Source organism: Homo sapiens, chromosome 20 (assembly GCF_000001405.40).
Source record: "Homo sapiens chromosome 20, GRCh38.p14 Primary Assembly".
Lineage (NCBI taxonomy): Eukaryota > Metazoa > Chordata > Mammalia > Primates > Hominidae > Homo > Homo sapiens.
The window spans coordinates 832,093-848,789 of record NC_000020.11 but is presented as its reverse complement, the minus strand read 5'-3'; the positions used below and the strand labels follow the sequence as shown (position 1 = coordinate 848,789).

Genomic DNA, 16,697 nt, shown 5'->3' with positions numbered 1-16,697 from the left:
AGATGGGGGTGGGGGGTCTCCTTAAATGTTTCAGTAGCAGGAACAGAACTATTTAACCAAGGACAGGGAACAGGCCTCTGCAGCTACACTCCATCCTCTGCCAAAAGGGTAAACTGAGGTCTGTGGGGGGGGGGCTGCCTTTCCCAGGGCCCATCCACCTTCATGATAGAAGTGAGCAGCCAGGTTGCCTGGTTCCCAAATCCACGTGTATATAATTAGCTGGTGGGAAATGGATCAGAGAGCAGATCCCATCTCTGCCTAATTAGGGGCTAGGCAGCTGGGGCCAGGCTGGCCTGGGGGAGCTGCTTCGGAGGGCTGGGCAGCCCCAGGAGACAGGGCAGCAGCTGCAGGCCCTCCGAGGGCTCACACTCCAACTGGAGGCAGAACAATAGAGGGGCTGTTTCCACAGATCCCCAAGGCTGCAGGGTTGGGGGAGGGAGGAGTGCAAAAGCCCCCCGCCCTGCTCCCTCCACAGAGGCCTGCAGGGAAGGCGGGAGGCTCCAGAATCCTGGAACAGGGGGAGCCCTCCCAAGACCAAGCCATAACCATTGGAGAAGACTCAATCTGGCACCTTCCCCACTTCCAAGAATCCCTCCCTGCTCTCTCCCCAACAGACCCTCCCAGTGGATTTATGGAAAGGCGTTCTCTTTTCAGCTATCCCCTGGTCCAGCTCCTGGGAACAGCTCTGGTTTTAGGGCAGAAGTCCCTAAGTATACCTGCTTTACATTCTATGATTATTTATGTGCTGAATGTTTAGTTGCCCATTCTCTTCTCCAGACTAGGACAGGGGCCATGTCTGTCTTATCCACTGCTGGGCACCCAGTAGATGCTCAGTAATAAAGTGACCAGAAGAAAAGGCTGCCAAGATGAGGAAGAGTGGTGGGGTACATGCTGGGAGAACCAGGAATCCAGACTGCGATGTGTCTGGCAGGCAAGAGTGTGACCCCAGGCTGTCCTGCAGACCTGCTATGTGACAGTATACAAGTCGCTATCCTTCCCTGAGCTCAACCTCCTGCTCTGACAATATATCTGGTCCTCAAAAGGCTACCTTGAGGATTCAAGCACTGTACCCTCCTTCAGAAACAAGGTGTCACCCACCAGTCCTGTGACCTGAACCTCAATTTCTTCACATGTAAAATGCAGCCAGCCCATCCACCTTCTTGGGTTACTCGGAGGCTGCCAGGTCACAGCAAGGGGCAATGACTAGCCCTGAATTCTAGCAGGGTTGCCTAGGAAATCTAGTCTTTGACACCTCAAAGGGCACCACGTCTGCAGATCCTGCCTGGATTCTCTCTCCTGACACCATCACTCCTTCAGCATGGGGACCCTGGAGGCCCAGCTCCTGCATTGTCAAAACTGCTGGGCACCATGGGGGGTTGTGGGTAGGTCACCACCCTCCTCATGCTTGTCTCCCCACCAGTATCATGAGCTCCAGTCTCATGAGCTGGAACACCATCTTCTTCTAGAACCCAATTTTCCCTTCCTTCCCCAAACTGCCCAGGCCCATCCCAGGCCCCTGGGGGCTAGTTGTAGACAGGCAGACAGACAGAGAGATGGACAGCTGGGCTGATGTGGATGTTTGTCAACAGTCCAACGGAAATCTCCTCTTTATGCTTAAAATAAAACCTACATCAAACCTGTCACCAGGGCCCCCATTAGAGCTTCCTGTTTCTGAGTGCTGCAGCCAAGGCAGCCTGTGAAAGGAAGCGCCACCCACCCCCTCTCCACGCCCACCGTGGGGCACCAGAGAGGCCACCCCCGCTTTCGCCCTTTGTAGGCCCAGCTCTAGCCCTAGCTGCTCCACTAGCCAAGGTGGGGTGTCCTAGTAGGTAACTGACCTGGAGGGAGACTGGAAGAAGCTGAGGCCTCGAAGCCCAGTGCCAGCCCCTTCCTTCCCCTCTCCCCAGGTATTGGAATATAGCATGAAGGGCCCAGAATGCACCAGTGCCCCAACCCAAGGAGGACTGTGCTGCCTAACTCTCCCACTGAGGCCCAGAGGGAAACTGGCTTGTCCAAGATCGCCAGGGAGGCCACTCATTTTGTGCCGTCCACCCCAAGTCTCTCTTCCTCCAAAACTCCCACTTCTCATCCTCACTCTATGGTCTGTGTGACCTCAAGTTCAGGATTTGCCCTCTCCGAGCTTCCTGCCCCCTTGGGAACTGGGCAGGGCTTGGATGGAACACTCCTGGTTGGGGAGAGTCTATGCACCCCATCGGCCTTTCCCCTGCAGGCTCCCTTTCTGGTGCAGGGGAAAGACCCCATTCCTACTCCCAGCTCTATTCCAGCTCACTCATGGCTGGATCTCAGTTTCCTCCTCGATGAGGCAGGCCTGCTAGCCTTCCAGGAGAGTTATGAGAACCCACCACGGGGACATGTCTCCAGCCAGGCCAGCCGCTATCATCATGCCCCACCACTAGACCTCGGGGTGAACAATTACTGTTTTGATGGCCCCACCCCAAGACTTCTCTCACCCTTTCTCTTGTGAACACAGAAGAGTCTGAAGGCCCAGCCCTTGAGAAACAAGCATTTGTGTTTATTAACCAAGGAGAGGGAAGTCAAAGCAATGCAGACTCCTAACCAGTCCCTCCTATAGTCTGCCCACCTAGGCCAGCTGCCAAGGACTAGGAAGAGCAGTGGATAGGCCCCTCCCCACTGCCCCGACCCCAGGGTGAGTTCTGCTGGGTAAGGAAGAGGAAGTCAGCAAAGGACAGAGGCCAAGGAAGGAAGGAGGAAACAGAGCCGCTGGGGAGACAGGATTGAGGAGATCCCTTGGCCCCTCACTCACAGTGGGGAGGGCAAAGCACCGCAAATGCAGCCCCACAAGAGGAACTAAGCAGGAGTACACTCATGTCAAAAACCTTGTATTGGGGGAGGGGAGGAGGGGGTTCTCAGGTGTCCAAAGCCAAGAACAAAACCCTTGGAGAGTCAGTCCTTGCCCAACAATGCTGGTCCAGCCTCTAAGCCTTTGCCTCCATACCAAGTTCACAACAGGGTGGAGCCTCTGACACGGCCGTCTAGAGAATGGATGCAAGAGAGGTCCAGGGACCACTTGCCTCTGTAAGATCCGTCCTGTGGCGAATTCCAGGCCCAGTGGCGCCTAGCCTTCAGCTGCTGGGCTCTCCCGAGCCTGCCTTAGCCCATACAACCACTTGATCACGCGGGCATTGCGCTCCACCACCGACACGCCATAGGGAACGCGCTCCCGGGCCCGCTCCTCAACAGTCACCGAGCTGCGGCGGGAGCAGCCCCCTTCAGAGCTGCCCGGCCCAGCACTGGGCCCTGCCAGGGACACGATATCCGAGCTGGCCCGTGCCAGGTGGGCCACACCCAACCCTCTCGCCTCCTCCGGGTCCAGGCCGCAGAAGTTAAAAAAGCGCTCGAGATCAGCGGCTGCCCTAGAAAAGCGCTCGCTCAAGTCCGACTTGGAGCGTTGCAAACCCGGCGGCCGGGCTGGGCTGGAGGCGGCGGCAGGGCCGGGTGATGGGCAGGGCCGGGCAGGCGAGGCGGGCAGGGGGCGGACGTCCACCCGGCGGACCGCAGAGGTACTGGGCGGCGGTCGCGGAGGGGTGGCTGGGGGAGGACGGCCGGCTCCCTCGGCCCGTCCAGGAGTGCGGCTGGCCTCGGCAGGGGACACGGGGCTGTCACACAAGTCGATGAGGCTGCTGAGGATGTCCAGGTCCAGCTGGGGCCGTCGGCAGGGGCCAGGCAGGGCTCGGCGGCTGGGCGTGAGCACTGTGCGGCGAGTCTCAGGGCTAAAGAGCGGCTGTTTGGACAGCAGGGGCTGCACAGGCTCCTGGCGGGTGTTGGCCACGTGCAGGCTCTTGACGTACTTGGCCTTGTCGGCCTCCAGGCGCTCCACAGCGCTCGGTTTCCGGGCTCCACCATCTGCCGGCCCCCGTAGCAGGTAGCCAGGGACCCTGGTCCGCAGGCGGCAAGGTAGGGCGGGGGCGGACGGGGCTCCGGGGCTCAGCGTGTGCACAGGCATGGCTGCTGCATATCCCGAGGGCTTTAGTCTGCGGAGACCGGAGAGATGAGGAGCCAGAGATCCGGGCAGAAAGTAGGCAGCTGGACACCGGCCACTGCTGCAGGGAAGGAGAGAGAAAAAAAAAAAAAAGCCGAGCGCGCTCAGACAAAGAGGCTCAGCCGCGGCTGAGAGGATAAGACGCCCTCCCTATTATAAGGTAGAGACCACGCCCCTCCACAAGGAGCCAATCAGCAGGCACAAGGCAGCAGCTGCGGGGCCTCAGGCCCCACCCACACCCCCTCCCTCCTGCCCCGGGAGAACCAGGCCCAGCTGAGACCAAGAGAGGAAAAAAGGTGCTAGAGAAAAAAGACCTGGGCGACCTGGGCAACCTGAGCAGAAAAGACAGGGCAAGGCACGCGCTAAAGGGAGCAAGGGAGGCTCCAGGCTCTGTGCTACGCACCAGTCAACTCAACCTCAGGTCCTCTCAACAGCCCCGTTTTTTGGATGGAGAAACTGAAGCCCAGAGAGGCAAACAACTTGCTTAAGTTAACCCAGCGAGTAGGTGGCTCTGCCCCTGACCACCAAAAAGGAAGGTGCTGGCACCGGGGCGTAGGGTTAAATGACCAAGAAAAAGGGCTCCAGCCCCACACCCCACCTGGACTCCCCACAGGGAGCCTGGTACCACCTCTACCCCTCACCCATCCAGGCAGGAAGCTGCCCTGTGCCATCCACCCGCCTAGACATGCCAGGCCCCAGGCAAAGGGCAGAGCTTATAGGGAAGGAGCAAAGAAAATCTCCACCCGCGCCCCAGTGGAGTCCAGACATCCGTCAGCTTCCTGCATGGAACTGGATGGCCCACGGTGATCCACAAATGCCTGTCACGTGGAAACATCAGCCCTGAGCTATGCTGTGCTGAGAGAAGCTGGAAATGTCCAAAATCACACAGCCCTGCATGGAGGCATCCGGCAGACCCTCGATCTGCCTGCAGCCATGGAATGGGTACTCACCTGGGAGGAGGGCATACACCTGGATGCACAAGTGTCTACGTGGTCACCCAAGTGTCAGGACCTGATGCCCCAGACATCAAGCCAACCCTGACCCTGTTTCCAAGGAAGGGCCAAGCCCACAGAGTCACCCCACAAGGCCCCTTGGAGATGGGACAGAAGAAAACCCACATACCAAGTCCCAAACATTCTCATCTGTAAAATGGAGGGGGCGGGTACTTAATCTGGGTGTTCCCCAAGAAGGCTTACAGTTCAAGCCATCTAGACCCGTGCTGTCCAGCTCAATAGCCAGCAGCCACATGTGGCTATTCAACCTTAACTTTAAATTTAAATGAAATAAAAACATAAAATTCAGTTCCTGAGCTACACTAGTGGCATTTCAAGTTCTCAATAGCCACATGTGGCCAGTTGCCACTGTGTTTGGCAGCACAGAGTACAGCATTTCCATCCATGGTAGGAAGCTACATTGGACAGCCCCACCTAGACATCCAAAAATCCAGAAGGGAGTGAGTCTGGATTGGGGTGGGGAGGCAGGGATCTCTGCTGGGTGCCATCCTCCCTATAACCTCCCACAAGCCTGTGGGTCGTTGTGCAGATGGAGAAACTGAGACTCAGAGAAGTGGCTTTCCCAGGTCCCAGAATAGATAAATAAGGCACTGATCTCAATACCACGTCCTGTTTCTCCCCGGCACTCCTGACCCCCTCCCGGCACTATTCCTTTTCTCCTTATCCCCTGCACAAGTACTCTATTTGTGTATGGTTGTTTTACTCTTTGTTGTCTCTATCCCCCTAAAATATCAGCTCCATGAGGGCAGGCGTGTGTGTGTAGGGGCGGGGGTTGGCTATTTTGTTCACTATACCCCAGTTTCAAGATACTGCCCTAGACACATACTAGGGCAGAATATTCAATAAAAATTTATTGAACTGAAATATTTATGGGAGCCAGATGTGAACTGGGTGATCAGGGATGAACTAGACATCTAGGTACCCTGCCTGCTGCAGGCATATGGGTCCAAGGTGGTAGGTGTATTGTTCCAGGAAGCTGGAAATCCAGGAGTACATAAAAACTCTAGATTCTTAACTGTCAGCATATTCGATAATAATGATTAAAACATTGCATATACAGCAAACAAAATATGTCTGCGAACATATCTGTCCCCTCCTCCTCCATCTGGCCCCCAACCACCAGCTGGAGACCTCTGCAGCAGCCATGAGTTGGGAATAGATCCTTGGGTGCTGCTCCCAAGGCAGGAGAGATGGAGTGGATGGGAAAGGAAGCCTCGCTCCACCAGGGCCGACCCCCAGGAGACCTCAGGTGGGAAGGACCTGACAGGAAAGGAGCACAGCAGAGCCAGCCAAACTCTGCCCCACCCCCAGGCCGCCACCTCCCAAACCAGTCCAACCCGTCCGCAGTGGCAGTTCCCTTGCGGGCACCATCCGGATAAAGAGGGAGAAGGAGGTCAGACGGGCGGGGCCGGGGCAGAAACCCCGTGCACGACCCCGATCGGGCCCCCAGCCCCTCTGGCCCCATCTGCTGGCCCTGAGGTCCCCTCTGGCGGGGCCGGGACAGATGCGAGAGCCAACCCCGGGTTTGGCGCCGCGGGCCCGCCGGCCTTCGGCTCGCCCACCCGCCCGCTGTGCGCCTTGCGCAAGCAGCTTCGCCTCTTTACAGACTCGGTTACCTTATCCGTGAAACGAGGTTAAAAATAGACCTTCCTGAGCCTCCAGGTCACGATAAGGATGGAGAGATCAAACAGGTCGAGGGCTTTCCTCGGCATCTGGCAAAAAGGCGGAGCCACGAACCAGGCTCCTGGTCTTCAAGAAGATTTCGACTAACCAAGTCCACAGACCACCCCCACGCAGGGGTCTCTAAGCAAGCCCCACGAGGGTCTGTCCCAGCCCACACCGCGGACAAAGCAGGCCCAAGACAGAGGCTGATCGGTGAGCTGACCTCAACAGCCCCACGTCACGGGTGGGCAAACGGAGGTGCAGCGGCTCCCGCCAGGTGAAGCCAGGGTCCCAAGTCCCCAAGCGCGACTCAATGTCCCCTCTGAGGCCTCCTCTCACCGCCCAATGCCCCACCCACGGATTCAAATGCCTCCCACGGATGCCCCCAACCGCCGGCCCTTCTGGCTTGCATCCCGGGGGCGCGCATCCCCACCTGGCCCCCTCCCCACTAGCTCCCCAGCGTCAGCCTCCAGAGGCCGCGGGGCAGGGCTGGGGGGAACTCAGATCCCCAGGCTGGCTTTTGCTCTCCCTCAATTCCGGAAAAGCTTGAGGACTCCCGGTGGCGGGGGATGGGGGGTCGGCTAGCAGGGCGCTGTGTGACCCTTGCCCCTCGCCGCCCCTCCTGGCTCTCAAATGAGGGAGAGAGCGGCACCATCCCCGCGGTCCTCTTGAAGCCGAAAGGTAGATCCCTGCCCCGTTCCCGCCGTCCTGGGGTGGAGGGGTGCTCGGGCCGCCCCCTACCCCGGCTGGGCGCCCCCCGCCGCGGTCCGCACGTACCCGGCTGCGCCCGCGCCGCTGGCCTGCGCTCCTCCGGCCCGGCCCACCTGGGGCTCCGGCAAGCTGAGTTTGCGCAACTTCCGGCGGCCGCGGGCAAGTGAACCCGCTGGTCCAGGTACTACCCGAAAAGGGTAAGGAAAGCCAGGCAGGGGCCAGAACCCGAGCCCCGGCCGCCGGCAGCTGGCCTGGCTCAGGAACTGGGTCCGACCCGCTCCAGGACCACCCAGGGAAGTTCTTCCGGGAGCCGAGACCCGCCCACCGCACACCTGGCGCGCGGGGTCCCCGTGGCTCTGGCAGGCAAGCGCACCCACCTTAGAGATGGACAAACTGAGCCCCGCTCCCTGACACTCAGAACGACCGCCAGGTGATGTTCACTGTGCCAGGCACGGGAAAGTGTTTTTCTTGGTATCGGGTAACCCATTTTAATCTTCCCAACAATCACTATCTGGTGAGTTCTATTGTTACCCCATTTGACTAATGGTAAACTGAGGCTGAGAGAGGCTGAGTCACTAGCCCAAAATCACTCTGGGGAGTCCAGCCTGCGCACTTTCCCTCCAGACCAAGGCTTAACGCCACCACTTTCTAGCTGTGTGTCCCTGACCAGGCTGCGGGACCCTCCTGGTGCTCCATGCTGTCACGTGTAGAGTCCATCCCTCTGGAACAGGCTGAGCCTGAGCATGCCTCAGCTGCCTTGTGAAAACGGTTAACATCGGCAACAACAGCCGTCATAGTAACAACAATAACTAGAATTTTGGGGTGCCAGGCACCATACTCATTTAAATCCCCAGAGCCCCCTCATTTAATCCCATGAGACTGCAGCCCTGCAGGAAGGAATTCCCAGAGGGAGGTGACTGTCACCTCTTCCACCCCAAGTCCTATAACTCACTGCAGGTAGGAACATTTGATAGGCCATTTTTTCATGGGAATCCTGAGGCCCAGAGAAGGAGCTGTCCCCCAGGCCTCAGCCCCAGCCCTCTGCCACACTCAGGCTGAAGAGGCTCCTGTTCCATGTCTGTGCCTGTGGGAGCTGGGCCAGGACTAGGGTACAGGGCATGAGGAGACCGGCAGTGATGCACATCAGCTTTCCTTCCCCCTCAGCACTGCAGCCTCCTCCAGTCCCTGACTTTACAGGGGACGGGGCAACAAGTCCTTCATCCTCCAAATGGCCTGCTGAGCCCTGCCTAGCCCTCCACGGAGGCAGAAATGGGGGATGGGGAGGGAAGGCTCCTTCAGGCGCTAATAGTAGTAACAGCAAAGCAACAATAATGATTTTCGTAATAGCAAAGAAAAGAACAGTCCTTCCTTTCCAGCCCCAGCCCCGGACCCTACAGCTGCCAAGATGCTGATGCCTAAGAAGAACCGGATTGCCATTCATGAACTCCTTTTTAAGGAGGGAGTCATGGTGGCCAAGAAGGATGTCCACATGCCTAAGCACCCGGAGCTGGCAGACAAGAATGTGCCCAACCTTCACGTCATGAAGGCCATGCAGTCTCTCAAGTCCCGGGGCTGCGTGAAGGAACAGTTTGCCTGGAGACATTTCTACTGGTACCTTACCAATGAGGGTAGCCAGTATCTCCGTGATTACCTTCATCTGCCCCCAGAGATTGTTCCTGCCACCCTACATCTGCCCCCGGAGATTGTTCCTGCCACCCTACACCGCAGCCGTCCAGAGACTGGCAGGCCTCGGCCTAAAGGTCTGGAGGGTAAGCGACCTGCAAGACTCACAAGACGGGAAGCTGACAGAGATACCTACAGACGGTGTTCTGTGCCCCCTGGTGCTGACAAGAAAGCCGAGGCTGGGGCTGGGTCAGCAACCGAATTCCAGTTTAGAGGCAGATGTGGTCGTGGACGTGGTCAGCCACCTCAATAAAATTGGAGAGGATTATTTCACATTGAATAAACTTACAGCCAAAAAAGAAAAGAACAAATCTCATCTGAGCACTTTCTTTGTACCAGACACTGTTCTAAGCTCTACAAAATGTTAACTAATTTAATCCTCACACCTACCCTGTGAGGGCTACTATTATTATGCCCATTTTCAGATGAGAAAACTGAGGCTCCAAGAGGTAAGGCCACGTGCCCAAAATTACACAGCTGATTAATGGTAGAGCCAGGATTGGAACCCAGGCTCACATCTGGGGAGGGGAGGTGGAAGAGACGGTGTTTTCAGTGTTGGGCTTTGGCCACTCACCAGATGTGCCCCCCAAGGAAGTCCCAAGGAATCTACTGCCTCGTCGGCTGGACCCCAGAGGGAGAAACCACCTTAGGAAGCACTCCCTGGTCATGGTTCTGAGTCTCGGTTTCCTCTGCTGTAAAATGGGGGCAATAACGGCAATGTTTTCCCAGCAGAAATAAAGTCTCATTACTGCTGTGTTTAAACCCTCCTGTGGCTCCCTTACAATAAAATCCAAGCTCCCTGCAGTGAGCTGAGATTGAGCCACTGCACTCCAGCCTGGACAACAGAGCAAGACTCTGTCTCAAAAAAAAAAAAAAAAAAAATCCAAGCTCCCCACTTGGCCCTCAGGCCTTCCAGGACTCAGTCCTTGTCCAAATCTCCCATCTTATCTCCAACCTCTTTCCTGCTCTGGCCACAAAGCCCTCCCTGCTGTTCCTGAACATAAGGTCTTTCCTGCCTCAGGGCTTTTGCACCAGCTGTTCTCTGTCTGGAACCTCTTCCCTCACCCCCTTCAGATCTCATTTCAAATGTCATCTCCTCCAAGAGACCCCCTCAGCAATTTCACCCATTTTATTCCCTTCCGAGCACTCATTACATCCTGTCATTTTAGATACTCTTATCTAGGATAGGAAATATAACTCGTTTCCTGTCTCTCCCACTGGACCATGAGCTCCATCACACCCTTCCAATTTTCTTCCTTCAGGGACCAAACACGAGGAAATACCGTTGAACAACCGGCTGTTCTGGACCCAGCCCACCTCAAAGGCCAAGGCCACTCATCAAGAGGTATATATTAAATGTATAAAGCTTTTTCTTATATCAGTAAGAAAGAGAGAAGAAAGAAAGAGAGGAAGAAAGAAAGGAGAGAAAGTTAAACATATCTGTCAAGAATAACACAAAAGTGATGTTGTGTCCTTCTTAGTACATGGTATCAGAAGGCTTCTTTTTTCTTTTTTTAGAAATGAGGTCTCACTGTGTTGCCCAGGTTGGAGTGCACTCCATAGCTCACTGCAGCCTCAAATAGATGGGCTGAAGCAATCCTGCCACCTCAGCCTCCTGAGTGGCTGGGACTATAGGTACATTACCACACCCACTCATAACAACAGTTTGTCTTAATCTTAGTGATCAGCCAATTCCTTGGTTAAGGCAGTATCTGCCAAATTTCTCCACTGTACAGTTATTATTTTCCCTTTGTAATTAATAAATATCTTGTGAGAAGAGAAAAAAAAAAAAGGACAGGGTCCCTAAGCACCAAGCCTCCTCCCCAAACCCTCACCGTGCTCCTGGCCTTTCCAGACCTGTCCTACTCTTCCTCCAACTTCAAGTCACCCCCATTCAAGCTGGGCTCTGACCACTTCTACCCAAGTCCTGTTCTTTCTCCAAAGCCACCATATACAAACCTCTGCACACACTGGTTCTGCTGCCTGCAGTGGTCTTCACTACTCCATCCCCCTGGCCATATCTGTAAGGTATAGCATGGACTCCAGAACCCATTCAAATCCTAGCTCCACCAATGATTAGCTATGAGACCTTGGATAAAATACTCAACTTCTCCATATCTCAGTTTCCCTAACTGCAAAACAGGACTCACAACAGTGCCTCCCTCTCTGCATGAGGTCCATGCATGACAAATGTCACCAAAGTGCAGGCTATGATAACTATTCAACCAAATAGATCATCCAGTGCCCAGCTCCTGAGGGAGGGCTTCATCAGCCCAGAAAGCTGATCCACTATTCTCAGAGGTTACAAATCTAAGAGAAGCACAGGTAATGGTTAAGAATGCAGAGTCATGACTGGGTGCAGTGGCTCAAGCCTGTAATCCCAGCACTTTGGAGGCTGAGGCAGGTGGTTCACAAGGTCAGGAGTTCAAGACCAGACTGGCCAAGATGATGAAACCCCGTCTCTACTAAAAATATAAAAATTAGCCCAGCATGGTGGCGGGGGCCTATAATCCCAGCTACTCAGGAGGCTGAAGCAGGAGAATCATTTGAACCCGGGACACAGAGGTTGCAGTGAGCCGAGATGGCGCCACTGCACTCCAGCCTGGGCGACAGAGCGAAACTCTTGTCTCAAAAAAAAAAAAAAAAAAAAAAAACAATGCAGAGTCACTTGAACAGACATTTCTCCAAAGATAACAAATGGCCAACAGGCACAGGAAAAGATGCTCAACACCATTAGTCATTAGGGAAATGTAAATTAAAACCACAATGAGACACCACATCACACCCCTGAAGATGGCCATTACCAAAAAAAAAATACAAACAGAAAATAACAAGTGTTGGTGAAGATGTTGAGAAATTAGCACTTTGTGCACTGCTGATGGACACATAAAATGGTGCAGTCACTGTGAAACACAGTAAAGTAGTTCCTCAAAAAATTAAACAGAATTGCCATAGGATCACCCAGCAATTCCACTTCTGAGTGTATACCCAAAACAATTAAAAACAGGAACTCAAACAGATATTTGTACATTCATGCTCAAAGCAGCATTAGTCACAACAGCCAAAAGCAATCCAAGTGTCCATCAAGGAATGAATGGATAAACAGAATGTGGCATATACATAGAATATTAGAATAGATTATTCCGCCATAAAAAAGAAAATTCTAACACATACAACAACATGGGTGAAACTTAAAGGCATTATGCTAAGTGAAATAAGCCAGACACAACAAGACAAATACTGTTATGATTCCATTTATAATACCTAGAGGTACCCAAAGTAGTCAAATTCACTCAAACAGAAAGTAGAATGGTGATTGCCAGGCACTGGGGGGAGAGGCAATGGGGAATGTACTTAATGCCACTGAACTGTATACTTAAAAGTGGTTACAATGGTAAATTTTATTTTATATACATTTTAATTCATTCACTGCCCCACCCCACCCCCCCCCCCAAAAAATGTAAAATTTAGAGCCAGACTCTCTGGGTTCAAACTCCACCTCTAGGTTATCTTATGCAAATTATTAAACCTCTCTTGTGCTCAGTTTCCCCTCTGCAAGATGGAAATAAGAACAGCAGTAATTACCTTATATCACAGAGTTGAGGGAATTAAATGAGTTCATACTTGTAAAGTACTTAGAACATAGTAAATGCTCAAGAGGTGTTAGTGATTTTTATTCTTTGGTGAGGGGGTGGGAGGTGTGGTTTCCAAAGGTTATAATTTTCATGACATTCTACACCCAACCCGCCCCCTTCCTCCCACCTGCTTCTTTCTTTCCCTTCAGCAGAAGCCTGGCCTAGATTTGGGGAGGCCCTTGCCTGCCCCAGAGGAGATTGGGAAGGCTCCAGGCAGTGGCAAGGGGCCAGCCAGCAGGGCAGCCCCAGCTCAATTTCAGCCCAGCTGTCCAGGTCAGGGACACCCAGCTGGGCCACCTCCAGAGCCACACCAGGCCCTGAGCTATTTCTGGAGGCCTCCCAGACGCTGGTGCCCTGGCCTGCCCAGGAGTCAGCCTTGCTCAGGGTGGCCTTGCACTAACATTAGGAAGGGAGAAGGGAGTAGGCTGTGGAATGGGTGTGGATGTGGACATCTAGGCCCACTGATACCAAGTTGATCTTCTAGGCCTAGGTCTGCACTTGAGGTTGCAAAATGGGGATGAAGGATTTTGCAGTGAGGACAGAATGGAAGATAACACATGCAAGGTCTTGGGGAAGGGCCTGGCACGCAGGATTAGAAAGGGGAGGGGGAGGCAGATCCACAGCCAAGCCCACTTCCTATCCTAGACTGCCCTCTGCCCAGGCCTGAGTGCACCATCATGACTTCTTAGCTCAGCCCAGAGACTGAAGAAACTTACTCAATGTCACAGAGCAACTCAGGGACAGGGCAGTGGTTTCATGATTTATAAATATGCATATATATACACATATATACATATATACACACATACATATATATACATATATGTGTGTGTGTATATATGTGTGTGTGTATATATATATATAGAGAGAGAGAGAGAGAGAGAGAGAGAGAGAGAGAGATGGGAGGACTGCACTTCATGAAGGCTGTGTGAGTTAACCTCCTGCCTGCAGAACACACAAATGGTCCATGAACGTTAGTTTCAGTCTTGATTACTGAGGTTTTGGGCATCCCTAAATTTTGCACTGGCTCAATTGCCTCAGCCCCTGCCTTGCATCACAGTGGGAGAAGATGATACATTTGCTAATAAGTAAAAAAACCAAAACATGCAAGAACCAGAGCAGGGCTTATGAAGTCAATAAATAATATTTGTTGAAAGAATAAAAGAAAGCCTTGTTTTCTTTCTGAGTCCTCGGAGATCCTGTCCCCCAAAGCCAGGGGCAGGCTCCAGAGGAGAGAGGATATGTAACTCCCTTATGAAGAGATTGAAGACTCTCAAAATGCATGATTCTGTGTGTCAAGGATTCTAAGATTGAAGCCAGAGGGACTAGGAGCTAACCACTGCATTGTCTGACTGTGACTTCGAAAAGGGGCTTAACTTCTTAGAACCTCCGTTTCCCCACCTACAAAAGGAGACTGACAATAGCAACCTAGGGGGCAGGGGGTGTCCCCAGGAGACACAGCAGGGTCTGGCCTAGGTCAGCTGCTCCACCTGGGGGGATTCCGGCCCCACTCCCAATTCCAAAGTCTCTGGTGACTAGTGGCTTTGGTTTAGGGACTGGCTCTATTCCCTTCCCCAAACTGGGGATGATTCCCAAGAGGCCAGCAGCGGCTCTGGGGGCTGGAGAATCTGCTGCCCCTGCATCCAGCCCAGAAATGTCAGTCCCGTCCGATCCCCAAAGAGTGGTCCTCTGTCCCCGTAGACAGAAAGGCGCCAAATGAGCCGAGTCCAACCCCGGACTGCGGAGAAGGAAAGACAGACGCCCAAAGGGGGTATCCCGAGGACAGTGTGGGGCGCGGGGATATGTGATCCAGCCAGGGGTCTACAGGTCCCTGCCGATAAAACGCTGGGAAAATGACTACCAGTTGCCCGTCTGGGCCTCTCAAGGCAAGTCCAGATGTGACTAGACTAGGGGGCTGCGAGGTGGGGCAGAAAGACTTGAACTGGATTCTCCGCCAGAGCTCGCCGGGCCGGGACACTTGCCTCTCTGAGCCTCAGAGTCCTCATCTGTGAAATGACACGCAGGTACGACGCGGGGAGAAAGCAGACAGCAGACGCTCGGGGAACGGGGCCCCCAGACCCGGGGTCGCACCCGGACCCACCCGCGCCCTCACCTGGAGCCCGCGCTAGGCGTGTCCCGGCTCCTCTCGCGCAGGCTTTGGAGAGGCTGACAGCTCGGACCCGGGCCGGTAGTGGCCGCTCCCAACGACGCCCAGGAGGCCCCAGCCCCGCGTGGGCACCTTTGGGGTCCCCTTTGGAGCTGCCCTCCGCGGTCGAGCTGAGCGGGTGGCCCTCACTGTCGAAGGCCCCCACCGCAGGGAAAGTCCCTGGGGCGCCGTGGAAGGGGAAGTGAGCACGCCGCCCCCCTTCACACCAGAATGGTTCGCCCCGGACTTCCTGATTGGTTCCTCGCTTCCGTTCGAACGGCGCGCCGCCAGGGTTGCCAGGCGACCGCTTAGCTTCCCCCGCCCGAAGGAGAGGCGCTGCTCAGCAGCTCCGCCCGCTCCTCCCAGCCGGCCCCACCTTCTTCCTGCCGCCGCTTCAGCCCCGGCGCCTGGTTCTTTCCCTTCCTCCTCCTCCCTCCCGCGGCCAGCTGGGACTTCCTCTAGGACCCCAGCTGGAAGAGCTCCAGTTAGAGGGCCCTGGCTGGTTCCTAGTCCTGACTTTGACGCTAACTCCCTATGTGACCCGGTGCAAGCCCCTTCCTTTCTCTGTTCTCCTAACTGCATGATGATGAGTGAGTTAATTTTAAAATGTGCATACCCAGCAGTCCCGAAATTTACAAAGGAAATGACCAAAGATATGAGCAAAGATTAATATTGCTCAGCCTTATTCATCATAGCAAAATAATGGAAACAACTTCAATGCCTCTTGAAAGGGATTGGTTATATAATTCCATCCTGTGGAGGAGCTAACTTAATTGAGCTTTTTGCATGCCGGGTAGCTTTACAGAACAAGTCTTGTCAAGGCTTATGACATAACCCTCTAAAAGTACTTTTAATTATTAACACTTTATTTATTTCTTTATCTTTTTCTTTTCTTTTTTTTTTTTTTTTTTTGAGATGGAGTCTCACTCTGTCGCCCAGGCTGGAGTGCAGTGGCAGGATCTCAGCTCACAGCAGCCTCAATCTCCTGGGGTCAAGCAATCTTCCCACCTCAGCCTCCCAAGTAGCTGGGACTACAGGTGTGCACCACCACACCCGGTATTTTCTGTATTTTTTGTAGGGATGGGGTTTTGCCATGTTGCCCAGACTGATCTTAAACTCCTGAGCTCTAGCAATTCTACCAACTCAGCCTCCCAAAGTACTAGGATTACAGGCATGAGCCACGCCACCTAGCCTAATTTTTCCCACTTTCTGATGAGGAATATTATGCAGCCATTAAAAGTGAAGTAGCTACCAGGAGCAGTGGCTCACACCTGTAATCCCAGCACTTTGGGAGGCTGAGGCGACCAGATCACCTGAAGTCAGGAGTTCAAGACCAGCCTGGCCAACGTGGTGAAACCTCGTCTCTACTAAAAATACAAAAATTAGCCAGGCGTGGTGCCACATGCCTGTAATCCCAGCTACTCAGGAGGCTGAGGCAGGAGAATAGATTGAACCTGGGATGTGGGGGATGCAGTAAGCTGAGATCATGCCACTGCACCCCAACCTGGGCAAGAGATCATCTCAAAAAGATAAAAATAAAAGTGAAGTAGCTAGAAGATATTTAAAGATAGGGGGAAATGCTAAGTATTAAACATTGGTTTATTTATGTTTTTTAGAGACAGGGTCTAGCTCTGTTGCCCAGGGTGGAGTGCAGTGGTGCAATCATAGCTCACTGTAACCTAGGTTGAAGCAATCCTCACACCTCAGCCTCCAGAGTAACTAAGACTACAGGCCCGCATCACCATGTCAAGCTACGGGTCTCGCTATGTTGCCCCAGGCCAGTCTAGAACTCCTGGCCTCAAGTGATCCTCCTGCTTTGGCCTCCT

The 16,697-nt window shown here is 53.8% G+C and overlaps 1 protein-coding gene and 1 pseudogene across 8 annotated transcripts, besides 7 other annotated features; one reads left to right on the top strand and one right to left on the bottom strand.

Moving 5' to 3' along the window:
* Positions 2,187-2,246: an enhancer, noted in NCBI's record as "active region_17447". NCBI's record gives its function as "activates an Ori minimal core promoter by ATAC-STARR-seq in GM12878 lymphoblastoid cells {active_cell/tissue: GM12878}" and the evidence as "EXISTENCE:reporter gene assay evidence [ECO:0000049][PMID:35858748]".
* FAM110A (family with sequence similarity 110 member A) lies at positions 2,513-15,075 on the bottom strand. Of its 8 annotated transcripts, NM_001289145.2 has the most exons (3): positions 14,839-15,075; positions 9,227-9,335; positions 2,513-4,082 (listed from the first exon to the last, which is right to left on the bottom strand). In NM_001289145.2, the coding sequence occupies exon 3, from the start codon at positions 3,983-3,985 to the stop codon at positions 3,098-3,100; it is 888 nt and encodes a 295-aa protein (NP_001276074.1). In that variant the 5' UTR covers positions 3,986-4,082; positions 9,227-9,335; positions 14,839-15,075; the 3' UTR covers positions 2,513-3,097. The 8 variants fall into 8 exon arrangements, with proteins under 8 accessions (NP_001276074.1, NP_001035812.1, NP_001276075.1 ...); NM_001042353.3 differs by lacking the exon at positions 9,227-9,335; NM_001289146.2 differs by lacking the exon at positions 9,227-9,335 and having other exon boundaries at positions 2,513-4,079.
* Positions 3,475-4,288: an enhancer, noted in NCBI's record as "H3K4me1 hESC enhancer chr20:825145-825958 (GRCh37/hg19 assembly coordinates)". NCBI's record gives its function as "activates a minimal SCP1, AML or CMV promoter by ChIP-STARR-seq in naive H9 embryonic stem cells {active_cell/tissue: H9 hESC(naive)}" and the evidence as "EXISTENCE:reporter gene assay evidence [ECO:0000049][PMID:30033119]".
* Positions 4,394-4,493: an enhancer, noted in NCBI's record as "active region_17446". NCBI's record gives its function as "activates an Ori minimal core promoter by ATAC-STARR-seq in GM12878 lymphoblastoid cells {active_cell/tissue: GM12878}" and the evidence as "EXISTENCE:reporter gene assay evidence [ECO:0000049][PMID:35858748]".
* Positions 5,842-6,824: an enhancer, noted in NCBI's record as "H3K27ac-H3K4me1 hESC enhancer chr20:822609-823591 (GRCh37/hg19 assembly coordinates)". NCBI's record gives its function as "activates a minimal SCP1, AML or CMV promoter by ChIP-STARR-seq in primed H9 embryonic stem cells {active_cell/tissue: H9 hESC(primed)}" and the evidence as "EXISTENCE:reporter gene assay evidence [ECO:0000049][PMID:30033119]".
* Positions 7,421-7,510: a silencer, noted in NCBI's record as "silent region_12585". NCBI's record gives its function as "represses an Ori minimal core promoter by ATAC-STARR-seq in GM12878 lymphoblastoid cells {active_cell/tissue: GM12878}" and the evidence as "EXISTENCE:reporter gene assay evidence [ECO:0000049][PMID:35858748]".
* On the top strand, positions 8,775-9,389 carry RPS10P5 (ribosomal protein S10 pseudogene 5; annotated as a pseudogene).
* Positions 13,059-13,158: an enhancer, noted in NCBI's record as "active region_17445". NCBI's record gives its function as "activates an Ori minimal core promoter by ATAC-STARR-seq in GM12878 lymphoblastoid cells {active_cell/tissue: GM12878}" and the evidence as "EXISTENCE:reporter gene assay evidence [ECO:0000049][PMID:35858748]".
* Positions 14,675-14,824: a silencer, noted in NCBI's record as "silent region_12584". NCBI's record gives its function as "represses an Ori minimal core promoter by ATAC-STARR-seq in GM12878 lymphoblastoid cells {active_cell/tissue: GM12878}" and the evidence as "EXISTENCE:reporter gene assay evidence [ECO:0000049][PMID:35858748]".
* Positions 15,076-16,697: the final 1,622 nt, after the last annotated feature.

Coding starts and splice junctions, on each gene's coding strand:
- FAM110A (NM_001289145.2), bottom strand. CDS start 3,985: ATGCCTGTGCACACGCTGAGCCCCGGAGCCCCGTCCGCCCCCGCCCTA.